General features: G+C 50.9%; 3 annotated features.

Annotated features, from left to right (window-relative positions):
* Window positions 243-332: a silencer, noted in NCBI's record as "silent region_1786". NCBI's record gives its function as "represses an Ori minimal core promoter by ATAC-STARR-seq in GM12878 lymphoblastoid cells {active_cell/tissue: GM12878}" and the evidence as "EXISTENCE:reporter gene assay evidence [ECO:0000049][PMID:35858748]".
* Window positions 1,345-1,704: a silencer, noted in NCBI's record as "silent region_1787". NCBI's record gives its function as "represses an Ori minimal core promoter by ATAC-STARR-seq in GM12878 lymphoblastoid cells {active_cell/tissue: GM12878}" and the evidence as "EXISTENCE:reporter gene assay evidence [ECO:0000049][PMID:35858748]".
* Window positions 4,915-4,964: an enhancer, noted in NCBI's record as "active region_2486". NCBI's record gives its function as "activates an Ori minimal core promoter by ATAC-STARR-seq in GM12878 lymphoblastoid cells {active_cell/tissue: GM12878}" and the evidence as "EXISTENCE:reporter gene assay evidence [ECO:0000049][PMID:35858748]".

The following is a 12,555-nucleotide window of genomic DNA, read 5'->3' on the forward strand; positions in this document are numbered from 1 at the left end:
GACCTGCAGGATGACTTTTACCAGTGGTTCTCAAATTTGAGCATGTTTCAGAATCCCCTGGAGGGCCTGTGAAAAACACGAATTGCTGGGCCCCAACCCCAGAGTTTCTGACTCAGAGTCTGGGGTTGGGAGTTGGTCTTGCTGAGAGCCCTCTAACCATTAGCAGCGGCGACATCTTGTGGTGAGGGACAGAATGTACCTTGGGCTCCCTCAGCCCTGATTACCCGCGCGTCCAGGATGATGCCGGACCAGGCTGCACCGCCCAGAGGCCCGACGGCGTCGCTGGGGCAGACCCAGAGACTCTCACACGCCTTGTCCTTGCCCGGAGGGTGCAGGCGCCTGCATGCCTCATTTACCCTAGAGAGAACAGGAAAACCTAAACTTGTTGTGCAGAACCTGCAGCTTCGTGTTAGAATACTATTTCCTCCCCCCACCTCCCTTTTTGTTAGAGACAATATCTCTGTTGTCCAGGCTGGAGTACAGTGGTGCTCTGCTCGCTGTAGCCTCCAACTCCTGGGCTCAAGTGATCCTCTCGCCTTGGCCTCCCAGAGCGCTGGAATTATAAGCATGGCTCATCGCACCCGGCCCAGAATATTTTTTATTCTCATTTTTGTAAATAAGTTTCTTCCCTGGTCTTTCCACCGGAGCCTGTGAATCGCAGCCTCGTGGCACCACCACAGTTGGCTTCTCAAGTCGGGAGGCTGACTCCTTGAACCGGGCGCCTCACTTCACGATTGCTTTCAGCTCAAAGGAGCATTTTACAACAGGAACCATTATCCCTGGTAGCTTGACGTCCAGCCCTGACACGATTTTCTGATTGACTAAAATTAGGGTAATGAGTTATGAGGGCAGAGAATGGAGCTGCGATCCCTGTAGGCGGGGGCAGTACCGCCTCTTATTTCCTCTGCCCAGGTGGTTAAGTTGGTAGATTGGGGTGTAGGTGTCTCTGGAGTTGGGCAGCAATGGGTGGGGTAGTAGAAGGACACCTGGTCTGTGTCCGGGGCTGGGTTCGAATCCCCACTCTGCCTGTGAGCTGAGAGCCCATGGGCACATCACCTGAGCTTTCTGCGTTTATCTGTAAAATGGGCAAGAGGCAATCAGTCATTTATATGAAAGCGGCCTGCAGTGCCTGGCACCGAGGCGGGCACGGATGGGCATTTGGTAAGGCAGGGAGGAGGAGCGCGGCGCCTGGAGGCTCCCGGGGCAGGGGAGAAGGGCATCGAGAACGGGGGCGGCGTGCGGGGTGGGAAGAGGAGAGAGTTCACGGCTTGCTCCTTCCCCTGCCCCCAGCCGCCTCAGCCCAGGCCTGAGTCTCTCCCCGTCTGGGCCTCTGCTTCCTGCAGGCACAGCCAGGGCCAAGACGCGCCCCTGGGCCTCCCTCCCCTTCGACGTCTCCACCCGGTATGGAACATTAATCATTAACCGTCCTGTGGCCAGGCCCAGCGGGGCGCCCGCTTCAGCTCTCCCGGTGCCACCTAGCTGAGTCACCGCGGTCTGGGCAGCTCCCCGCAGCCAGGACCTCCCTCCGGGCCGAGGGTCGCGGGGTTCGAGCCGCGGCGAGGTCTTGGGCTTCCCAGGGGCCGCTCCTCGGTGCGCCGCCGCCCACAATCAGCAGGGGGCGCCCGTCCCGACCGCGGGAAGCCGGCGGGGCCACCGAGCGGCGGGCTGGCCTGGCGGGGCGGTGTCAGGGCGGCAAGGCGGCGCCTCCCCAAAGCCGTAAACCTTCCCGCCCGGCTGACTACGCCGGCCCAGCCACGCACGCGCACCCCGCATGCCCCGTGGCCTGTGAGGTTATTCAAGAAGCCAAGGTCGGGAGTGGGGAAGGTCAGCCTCTAGCCCGGCACTGTCTGGAAAAGATCGAACCAATTAATTGACTGTAAGAAGCATGTAACCAATACAATGGAAGGCATTGCTACCCTTCCTCCACCAGGTTCAGGACCTCATGCCCAAGGAACGGCGCGCAGGAATTGGTAGTAGGTTGTGGAGGGTCAGGGGCTCTCCCAGCATCCTGAGGCTGTCTCCTGTGAAGGCCACTCCAGAGGTTAAAGCTTTCCCGGGTGCCAGGAGAGCTCTCCTAATTCAGCCGTAGGGATCACCAGTAAAGATGCTCAAAAATCCCAGCATCTCCCACTTGCAACCCACAGGGGATTCTATTCTACTCTCTCTAATTCCCCATGGCCACATAGTTGAGGTCACTTAACAATTTTTTTTAAAGACGGAGTTTCGCTCTTGTTGCCCAGGCTGGAGTGCAACGGCGCTATCTCGGCTCACCGCAGCCTCCGCCTCCCGGGTTCCAGCGATTCTCCTGCCTCAGCCTCCCCAGTGGCTGGGATTACAGGCATGCACCACCACGCCTGGCTAATTTCGTATTTTTTGTATAGATGGGGTTTCTCCATGTTGGTCAGGCTGGTCTTGAACTCCCGACCTCAGGTGATCCGCCCTCCTCAGCCTCCCAAAATGCTGGGATTACAGGCATGAGCCACCGTGACCGGCCGGTCACTTAACATTTAACCTAACACCCACCTGCCAGCAGGTCAAAGGTTATTGCCTATGACTGGCCAGGTTTCACTTCGGCTGCCGTGGTGCTCCTGATGTGACTGCACTGGGCAGACGGACCTGAAGTACTGTCCCTGTATTAAGTGGAGTGGCCCCGGGAATGAAGCCATAACAGCAGCCAGAGACAGCAGCCCAGATTGGCTGTCTTGACAGCCCAGAGCCAGTGTGGTCAAATCTGCCCCCATGATGCCTGTGTCCTTGCTATTCCCGCCCCAGTCATCCCCCTCTGAACCCCAAGGAGTAGCTGTGAGGGTGCAGGTGGGTGAAAGAGACAGGCAGTGGACATTAGTGCAAGAACTAGGGTCATGGGTTCTGAGTCCAGCTGGTCACTGCATACCTACGTGATGACACATAATTTCTCTGAGTCTCAGTTTCCCCAGCTGTAAACAGCACTAATAGGAACTGTGTGGACTACCTCAAAGGGTTGGTAAAGGGTTCAAATTAGATAACGAATGTTCATCACTAACCCATTCATTCGTTAAATGTTTATTACAAACTTGCCTGAAAGATGATGATCCGTCTTCTCAGTGGCAGCAGAAAAATCATGAAAGACCCTGCCCATGACGCCACCTGTGGTGCACACAGGCTTAGCACCAGCCTTTCTTAAACTGTGTGAGCAGGAGGGCTGCTGCAGAGGAGGAGGGATGCAAGGTGAAGGGGGAGGAGAGGCAGGAACTGCATGGTGGAGGAAGCAGGAAGAAGGGCGAGGCCTCACCCATATGGCCTCAGCAGGCCCTGTGATCTCCCTGTTGAGCCCAGGTTCTCCCAGAAGCTCCCTGGGAATTACTGAGCTGGGTGTGGCTTCCTAGCCCCACACCTGCCCAGCCAGCTCAGGGCCCCTCCGTGCTGTCTTCTCAGGATCCTGCTTCAACCTGCTGCCACTTCCCCATGCCTAGCTCACTGTCACTTTCTCCCTTACCTGCCCTCTCAGCCTCAAACTGATAATTTGGAAAAAGAGGCGCCTGGAAAAAACCACTTCCAGGGTACAGCAGGAACCAGCCTCACTCTTCTTTCTCTCTTTTAAAAATTATTACGATTTTTACTGAGATGGGTTCCAAGTATCACTCTCCACCACCTCATCACCTTCTGGGACCTGGATGGACTCCAGATCACTATGTTGCCTAGGCTGGTCTCAAACTCCTGAGCTCAAGTAATCCTCCGGCCTCGGCCTCCCAAAGTGTTGGGATTACAGGCGTGAGCCACTGTTGCCTGGTCTGGCCTCGCTTTTAATTTTGGCTTCCTGGAGGCTTTTGCTGAGGTAGAGATGCAGGCCACCCTTGCCTGACAATGCCTTCCAGGCAATTGAGTGGCTGAGCCAGTGGGAGAAGGTGGGCTTCTCTCACTCCCAGGTGTGGTGGTAGTGAACCAGCCCAGGTGGTCAACATGAACTGGGAACATGGAAGACAAAGGTAAAAGAGCTGGTAAGGGAAGCAAAGCAGGTTTGGGAATAAAGCTTAAAATCTGGTACAGAGTGGGTTACCATGCCGTCCCTCTGGGGCTGACACATCAGGCGGAAGCCCCCAAATACAGGGTTAGTCTTGTCATGTTACAGTTCTCCCACTGGGCTGAGAACTTCCCAAAGACACAAGCCATGTTTCTTCCTCATCTTATAACTTGTGTAAAAGGCTGGATCCCTTGGAGTACAATCTTCTCACTGGGCACCTGCTGGCCATAGGCCAGCCCGCAGAGAGCAGGGCAAGGGTACGCATGTGCCCCCGAGTGGCTCTCTTAGCCAGGCTGGGCCAAGGTTCACCCATTTCCAAGCTCAGCCTCTGGGCATACCATGTTTGGAGCCCAAGGGCAGTTTTCCATGCAACGAGGCACGTATCACTCTCTACCACCTTGTCACCTTCTGGGACCTGCGTGGACTCCAAATCCCTCTCTCTAGATGTAAAATTGAACCTGGTGGAGGCTCTGCAGCTGATGTGAAACCACCACTTCCTCTCTCCCCAGATGGTTCCAGCCAGAGGCCAGCCAGTCAGCCCTGTTAGGGTGAGCACCTACTGTGTGCAGAGCCAAGTGCTCAGTGTATGATACTCACCTTTTGTTTTGCCTGCCTATTATCCCTTCCCCTTATTCTGGCAAAAGCTTTCCAATTCTTAACCTTCCACTTGTAGTCAGTAAGATTCCCACAGGGCCCATTGCCAGAAGGAAGCCCCTGGGCCAGGCCTGGCCACAAGATATTTTACCCCAGCCTCTGACACTGGTCACAGAGATCATCAGCACCAGGGCTGTAGCTGGAACTAGTGGGAGGAGAAACTCTCTCTACTGGTGGATTACATGAGCCTGGGACTGCTGATGGGCATCTTGCATCACCAGGGGAGAGCCACGCCAAGGAACAGAGAAAGACCAATTCCTGAGGACATCGCTTAGGCTCCTGGAGCCACCGTGGCTGGAATGGCCAAGCTATGACTGCCTACATTTCCTAAGTTACTTTGAATTGGGTTTTCTGTCACTTGAAACTAATAATGGTGACCAAAATGAGGAGAGGAGGGTGCTCAGAGAAATAAAGAGAGGAAGTGAAATGATTTCTACTTTCAGAAAGGTCCCAGGCTGAGGGGAAATATGGTTTTCATCCTCGGGTGTCTGAACACATGATCTTCCATTTTTTTAACTGTGTGTGTGTGTGAGAGAGAGAGAGATTGTGATATATATATATATATATACACATACATATGTGTATATATACATATACACATTGAGAAAAATTCTTATACTTTTTATTTCTTTGTCAAAAAATACATATCCAGAATGGAAAACTTATTTAAAAAAGAAAAGAAAGAAAGAAAAAAGGAAGGAAGGTAACCTGTATGCCACCCTCCACTGTTACTCTTTTTCAGTGGGTTCATGTGTGCATACACCTTTAACAAACTACAGAGGGTCATCTGGTAGAGATTACTTCAATTTGTTTTTCTCCCCACTTACCAACACATGGGGATCTTCTTTGCAAAAACATAGAGGAAACTTTTAGGAGGCAAGTCTCATGGCCCTACCGTGTTCACATGCATCTCGCCACCCAGCCTGTCATCTTGTTTCCTAAAAGAGGCACAGGAGGCCATCTGTGGATGAAAAGTGCCAATTATTCTCCATAGTGTCGCTGTTAGAGAAAGTCTTAAAAAACAGAGCATTCATTCACTCACTTGTTCAATAAGTAAATATTTAAGTGCCTCTCAACATGCAGGGCACTGAACTATGCGCTTAGGGTATGATGAACAAAACCAGACATTGTCTCTGCTCCTTGGAGCTTACAGCATAGTGAGGCAAAGTCATTCATCAAACACTTGCCAAACACGTGTAAACCACTGGCTGGCACAGATGCTGAAAGGGCATAGCATAGGCAGGTTTGGTCCACTCAGGAGGGCTTTCCTGAGGAAGTGAGGTGTGGGCTGGAATCTAAAGGATGAAAGGTGCTAACCAGGCCAAGAGAGCGATGTGAGCATTTCAGGGAAAGGCACTGTAGTTGGAGAGAGTATGGCTGGAGTGGAGAGAGGGGGAGCCAGTGTCCCCCACCGTGAGAGTGGGTGGCAGAGAGAGAAAGGAGCCAGGTGATGCAGGGCCTTTGAAGTCACATTGCTAAGTTTTGTCATGGTCCTAAGAACAAGGGGAATTGGCTGGGTGTGGTGGCTCACACCTGTAATCCCAGCACTTTGGGAGGCTGAGGTGGGTGGATCACTTGAGGTCAGGAGTTAGAGACCAGCCTGGCCAACATGGTGAAACCCCATCTCTACTAAAAATACAAAAAATGGGCCGGTTGTGGTGGCATGCGCCTGTAATCTCAGCTACTCGGGAGGCTGAGGCAGGAGAATCGCTTGAACCTGGGAGGCGGAGGTTGTAGTAAGCTGAGATTGTGTCACTGTACCACTGCATTCCAGCCTGGGTGACAGAGCGAGACTCTGTCTCAAAAAAATAAATAAATAAATAAAAGCGGTTGGGGGAAAAAAGGGGAGCCACTGAAGTTTCCCCAAGCAGATGCGTGTATGACATGACTAGTTTTGTGTTCTGTAAAGATTCTGAGGCTGCGTCGTGAGAAATGGGCTGGACAGATCCTAAACAGACTGGAGTGTAGTCGGCAGACAGCTATTGCAGTAGTCAAGGGATCAGAGGGCAGGGTAGCTTGCCATAGGGTGATGGTACAGGAAATGGAGAAAAGAGGAGGGCCTGGAGATGCATTTAGAAGATAAATCAGAACTTGGTAATCGATTGGCTATGCAGAGTGAGAGAGAGTGTGTCGGGAGACTCCTGCTTTATTCCTGTCTTGCTCAACTGGGTAGGTGGCACCACCAGTCATGGAACTAGAAAACACTGTAAGAGAACCAGCCAGGCTAAGGAGAAGGTTAAGTGTTCCACCTTAGGCATGTCGAATTGTGGGAATCTTTGAGACCTCCAAACAGAGATGTCACTTAGGCAGTTGGATGTCTCAGTGAAGAGCTCAGAGATCACTTGTATGAGTGTGCACTGACCCGCGAATCAACCAGCTGGTGTGGATTCTGATCCCAGCTCACTGTGTTTCATTGGTGAAATCACTAACCCACTCTGGGACTCAGCGTCCTCAAGTGTCCAATGAGGGGTTGGACCACAATTCTGTCCAGCTCTAACATTCTCTGAATCTGTGAGCACATGAGGATGGAATATTGCCCAAACTTCTCTAAATTCCTCCCAAAACCAGGGAAAGAGGTCCTCCAATTTTAGGAGTGTTTCTGGCTCTGTTAGACTGGTCTTCGGGATGTTCTTGTTCTGATCCTGGCTGTCTCTCTCCTAGTCAGGTCGTGGACTAGCCTGAGACCCCAGAGCCCTATTCTTGCATGGGAAACCCTAGGCCCCTCATCCTTGTTTTAAGAAAAGGAGAGAGAACTGCATGTGCCGCTGTAGCTCATGGGGAGGCAGGTTGAGGGTCAAAGGCATAGACTGTGAAACAAAGGTGTTTCTTGCCACGGACTTTCCAGGACACTTCCCCCAAGGTTTTCCCTTTGCAAAATGACTCCTCCCCTTCTCTGCTGCTAGCCTGCTCTCTCCTGAACTTTCTGCTCTCTGCACTCTTTCCAAAAATGTGTTATCAGGTGTCCATGCAGTGTTTGCTTATTTCACAAATGACCCAGTTCTTGATGATGTCCCAGGTCCCACTGACCTTTCTTGGCTAGAGTAAGTAGCCCATGAAATAATATCTTCCTGGAACTGTTTGACACCTAGTCCCTCTCCTGGGTCCTGGCCAAGAGCTAAGAACCATTCATCCAGGGCTCATTATTAATGACCTATTACATGCTAGACACTGGAGATGCAAAATGAACAAAACCCAATCCCAGCCCTTGAGAAACCTTTGTGCCAATGATTTTGAAGTGTGAACTGGACCATCATTACCACCCTCTTCACCATATTAAAACCTCTTTTCTGCACACTTGGCTTTTGAGTTGTCTCAAAGATCATTGGCCGGGCATGGTGGCTCAAGCCTGTAATCCCAACACTTTGGGAGGCCGAGGCGGGCGGATCACGAGGTCAGGAGATCGAAACCATCCTGGCTAATGTGGTGAAACCCCGTCTCTACTAAAAATACAAAAAAATTAGCTGGGCGTGGTGGCGGGCGCCTGTAGTCCCAGCTACTCCGGAGGCTGAGGCAGGAGAATGGTGTGAACCCGGGAGGCGGAGCTCGCAGTGAGCCGAGATCGCACCACTGCACTCCAGCCTGGGCGACAGAGCAAGACTCCATCTCAAAAAACAAAACAAAACAAAAAAATCATTAATGCCAGTGGCTATCATTTACCGAGGGCTTATGATGTATCGGTCTTAGTAGAAAGCACTTCACATCCTTCATCTCATTTAATCTTCCAAACACCCTGTGAAGTAGGTTCTGTTTCTCTCACTTCACTCTTGAGAGCCTGAAAGAGATTAAGTCACTTGCCTGAGTTCAGACAGCTGGGATTCAAAACCAGGTTTAATCTGACTTGAAAATACCTGGCTCTTAACCACACTGCTGTTGCCACCTTTGATGGGACGGATGGCTGCTTGTTTCCTGAGGAGTTGGTGTTAGCTACAAACTTCCAAGTTTATTAGAAGAAGGACCCCAGGAGTACAGGAATCCTGTCTTGTTTAGCCCTTATCGCAAAACACCTAGGATGGTGCCTAGTAAATATTTGTTGAATGAATTTCAATAACTGAAACACTTTGCAAATCCCCCTCCCCACTCACCACCACCAATCACAACCTTGAGAACTATCAAAGGCAATGTGTTCAATACATTAACATAATGAGGAGAATCTCTAGCTAGAAGATTTGGAGTCCCCTCCAGGCTATAGGCCCAAAGAAGTAGTTTGTTAAGTGGTTTGTTAAACCATTAGCAAATGGATAGCTACTTCCGTTGCTCAGGTGTGTTTGAATTCCTTCCTTTTATACCAAGGAGCCTAATTCTAAGCCACCACTTTCATCTACCAGTGACCTTTAATAAAGCCAAGGTTTGTTTGTTTGTTTGTAGCAAACAATGACGCAATTACTTTTGAGAAAAAAAGAGTAAATTGAAGAAAAGTTTATTTTCAGGCTGGGTGGGATGGATGGCTCACTCCTGTAATCCCAACACTCTGGGAGGGAGAGGTGGGCGGATCACTTGAGGTTAGGAGTTCGAGACCAGCCTGGCCAACATGGTGAGATCCGCCACCCCTGGCCCCCGCTCCCCAATCCACCTATTCTCCCCCGCCCCCCGCCGTCCCCCATCGCTACTAAAAACACAAAAATTAGCCAGGCGTGGTGGCGGGCGCCTGTAGTCCCAACTACCTGGGAGACTGATGTGGGAGAATCGCTTGAACTAGGGGGGCAGAGGTTGCAGTGAGCCGAGGTCACGCCATTGCACTCCAGCCTGGGTGACAGAGCGAGACCCTGTCTCAAACAAATAAAAAAACACCAAAGTTCATTATTTTCTGAATTGGCTTATCTGCTGAGAATTTAGGTGTTGGCCTGGCTGTAGTCAAAGGCTCCTAGCCCTTCAGGTAAAGATGGAGTTCTTCTCACACCACTCACACTCCTCTTCACCCTCCAGTCCCCTCTCCATATCCACTGCCTAGGACTTTCTCTGGCTCTGGGTCTTTGTCCTTGCAGTTCCCTCAGCTCCAATCTCCTTTCCCTTCCTATTTGCCTGGGTAAATTTTATTCATTCTTCAAATTCTAGGAAGTCTTCTTGAGTTTTCCGCTGCCCCCTCCGCTGACCCCCCAACCCTCTACAGCATCTGGGTTTGGTGCCTCTCCTGTATTCCCTATAGCACCAGGCACACAGCTCAGCAGTATTTTCTTGTCTTTATCCTACATTCCACCCACCCAATTTGTCCAGACACCCAATTTGTCTTAGTGTCCCCAGCTCCAAGCCTAGAGCCTGGCCCATGATAGGTGCCATTTAAATAGCATTGTGGTTGATTGTTTTACCACCTTATCAAACCCCGTAGTTGTAGAAACATTTATTGAGTACCTACTATATGCCAGGCTTCTAATGTATGTGATTACTAAACCCTGCAACAACCTTGCAGAGTAGATTTGATCACTCCTGCTTCCAAGATAAGGGAGCTGGAGCTCAGAGAGGTTTGGTAGCTTGTCAAAAGACTCACATTCAGAAAGAGACTAAGCACGGAGGTGACTCAGGCCGTTAGGACTCTAAACTCTGTCTCCTCTTTCTCCTAGCTCTGGATTTCAAGTCACCCAAATTTGTGCCATCTCTATAACTCAAAAAACAATTACGTATCAGCTGTTTGACCTTAGATAAGTCACTTGACCCCACTTGGTCTGTTTTGTTGAGTGTAAAATGCCCAGAGTGGGCCACATGAACTACAAGGCCCATGAGCTCCAAGGTGGGTAAGTTTACAAATTAGGACAAGATGGAGCTTTGCCCAAAGGAAGGCAGCACTGCAGAATAAATCCACTGGGGCCTGTTGGTGGACCCGAATCTGTGGACTTGCATGGCGCCCACGTGGCCTCAGCCTGAGAGGGTGCCTACACACGCTCCCACTCCCATGCTGTGCACTGGGCTTGTCAGTGTTCCGGACAGTGCGTGTGCAAAGGCCCCTTGGTATGCTGAGCCTGTGCCTGTGCCGGTGGCAGGCAGCTGGCTGGTTCGTCTTCTGGCTCTGGAAATGGCCTCCTGCCTCATCTGGGCCAGCCTTTCCTCAGGGAAGATGAACTTCAGCCATTCCCTGGGAATTGGGTCAACAGACCATGGGCTGCTCTCCCAGCGGCTTGCCCTGGCTAGTCCTGCTTTCTGAGGCCAGAGGAGGCCTCGCCAGTGTGCTGAGACGTCCCCCCTGCTCCACACTTGTGTCTGGTTTTGTTTCTGCTCCAAGCAGGAGGTAATCCCCAGCTCCCCGAGCTCCCTCCCCACCGCCCAACCACCCCGCTCTGCTCCTCAGGTGGAGAAGCCCATTGCCAGGAGGATAAAGCGGAAGACCCGAGCCCCTCCCAGAACAGAATGAGCCTTGGCAGCAGCTGCAATGGGGGAGGCTGGGGATGTCAGGGGAAGTGCCCTGGAAAGGGCTAAGGGGTAATAATTATGTATCCATAAAAAATAAAAATAAAAAGCCCAGGCCTGACAGCTCACACTCGTAATCCCAGTGCTTTGGGAGGCTGCGGTGGAAGGATTGCTTGAGCCCAGGAGTTGAAGACTAGTCTGGGCAACATACAGATCTCCGTCTCTACCAAAAATTAAAAACACAAACAAACAAACAAAAAAACCTGGATGTGAAGGCACACATCTGTAATCCCAGTGCTTGGGAAGGCTGAGGTGGGAGCGTCAGAGGCATTTGAACTAGAGCAACTCCATCTTGAATAGTAGCTGGGTAAAATAAGGCTGAGGCCTGCTGGGCTGCATTCCCAGGAGGTTAGGCATTCTTAGTCACAGGATGAGATAGGAGGACAATACAAGATACAGGTCACAAAGACCCCACTGATAAAACAGGATGCGGTAACAAAGCTGGCCAAAACCCATGAAAACCAAGATGGCAGTGAAAGTGACCTTTGGTCATTCTCACTGCTCCTAACATGCTAATTACGATGCATTAGCGTGCTGAAAGACACTCCCCCAGCGCCATGACAATTTACAAACGCCATGGCAACATCTGGAAGTTATCCTATATGGTCTAAAAAATGGAGGAACCCTCAGTTCTAGGAACTGCCCACCCCTATCCCAGAAAACTCATGAATAATCCACCCCTTGTTTAGCATATAATCAACAAGTAACTGTAACTCTACTCAGTAGAGCGGCCCATGCCACTGCTCTGTCTGTGGAGTAGCCATTCTTTATTCCTTTGCTTTTTTTTTTTTTTTTTTGAGGCAGAGTCTCACTCTGTCACCCAGGCTGGAGTGCAGTGGTACAATCTCAGCTCACTGCAACCTCCACCTCCTGAGTTCAAGCGATTCTCCTGCCTCAGCCTCCCGAGTAGCTGAGATTACAGGTGTGCACCACCATGCATGGCTAATTTTTGTATTTTTAGTGGAGATGGGGTTTCACCATGTTGGCTAGGCTGATCTTGAACTCCTGACCTCAAGTAATCCATCTGCCTTGGTCTCCCAAAGTGCTCGGATTACAGTCGTGAGCCCCCATGCCTGGCCCCTTTGCTTTCTTAATTAACTCACTTTCACTTTACTCTCACCCTGAATTTTCTTGCCTGAGATCCAAGAACCCTCTCTTGAGGTCTGAATCAGGTCTCCTTTCTGGTAATAGGAGGATCACTTGAGGCCAGGAGTTCGAGGCTGCAGTGAGCCATGATTGTGCCACTGCACTCCAACCTGGGTGACAGAGCAAGATCTTGTCTCAGAAAAAAAAAAAAAAAAGTACATATATGGCAAGAGAGTGAGCAAAGAAAAATAAGAGTCAGAAAAAAAGGCACAAAGAAGTGGGACCTCCACAGACCAGGGTGGGGACAAATTTTTCACAGATGACCCAGGGTCCATGCCCAGAACACCCTGGGATTAGTCACTCTTGACCAGCCAGAAACCAGCTGAGACCTGGCATGGGCACCCCAGGCATGCCCGAGG

This window comes from Homo sapiens, chromosome 1 (genome assembly GCF_000001405.40).
Source record: "Homo sapiens chromosome 1, GRCh38.p14 Primary Assembly".
Classification (NCBI taxonomy): Eukaryota; Metazoa; Chordata; class Mammalia; order Primates; family Hominidae; genus Homo; species Homo sapiens.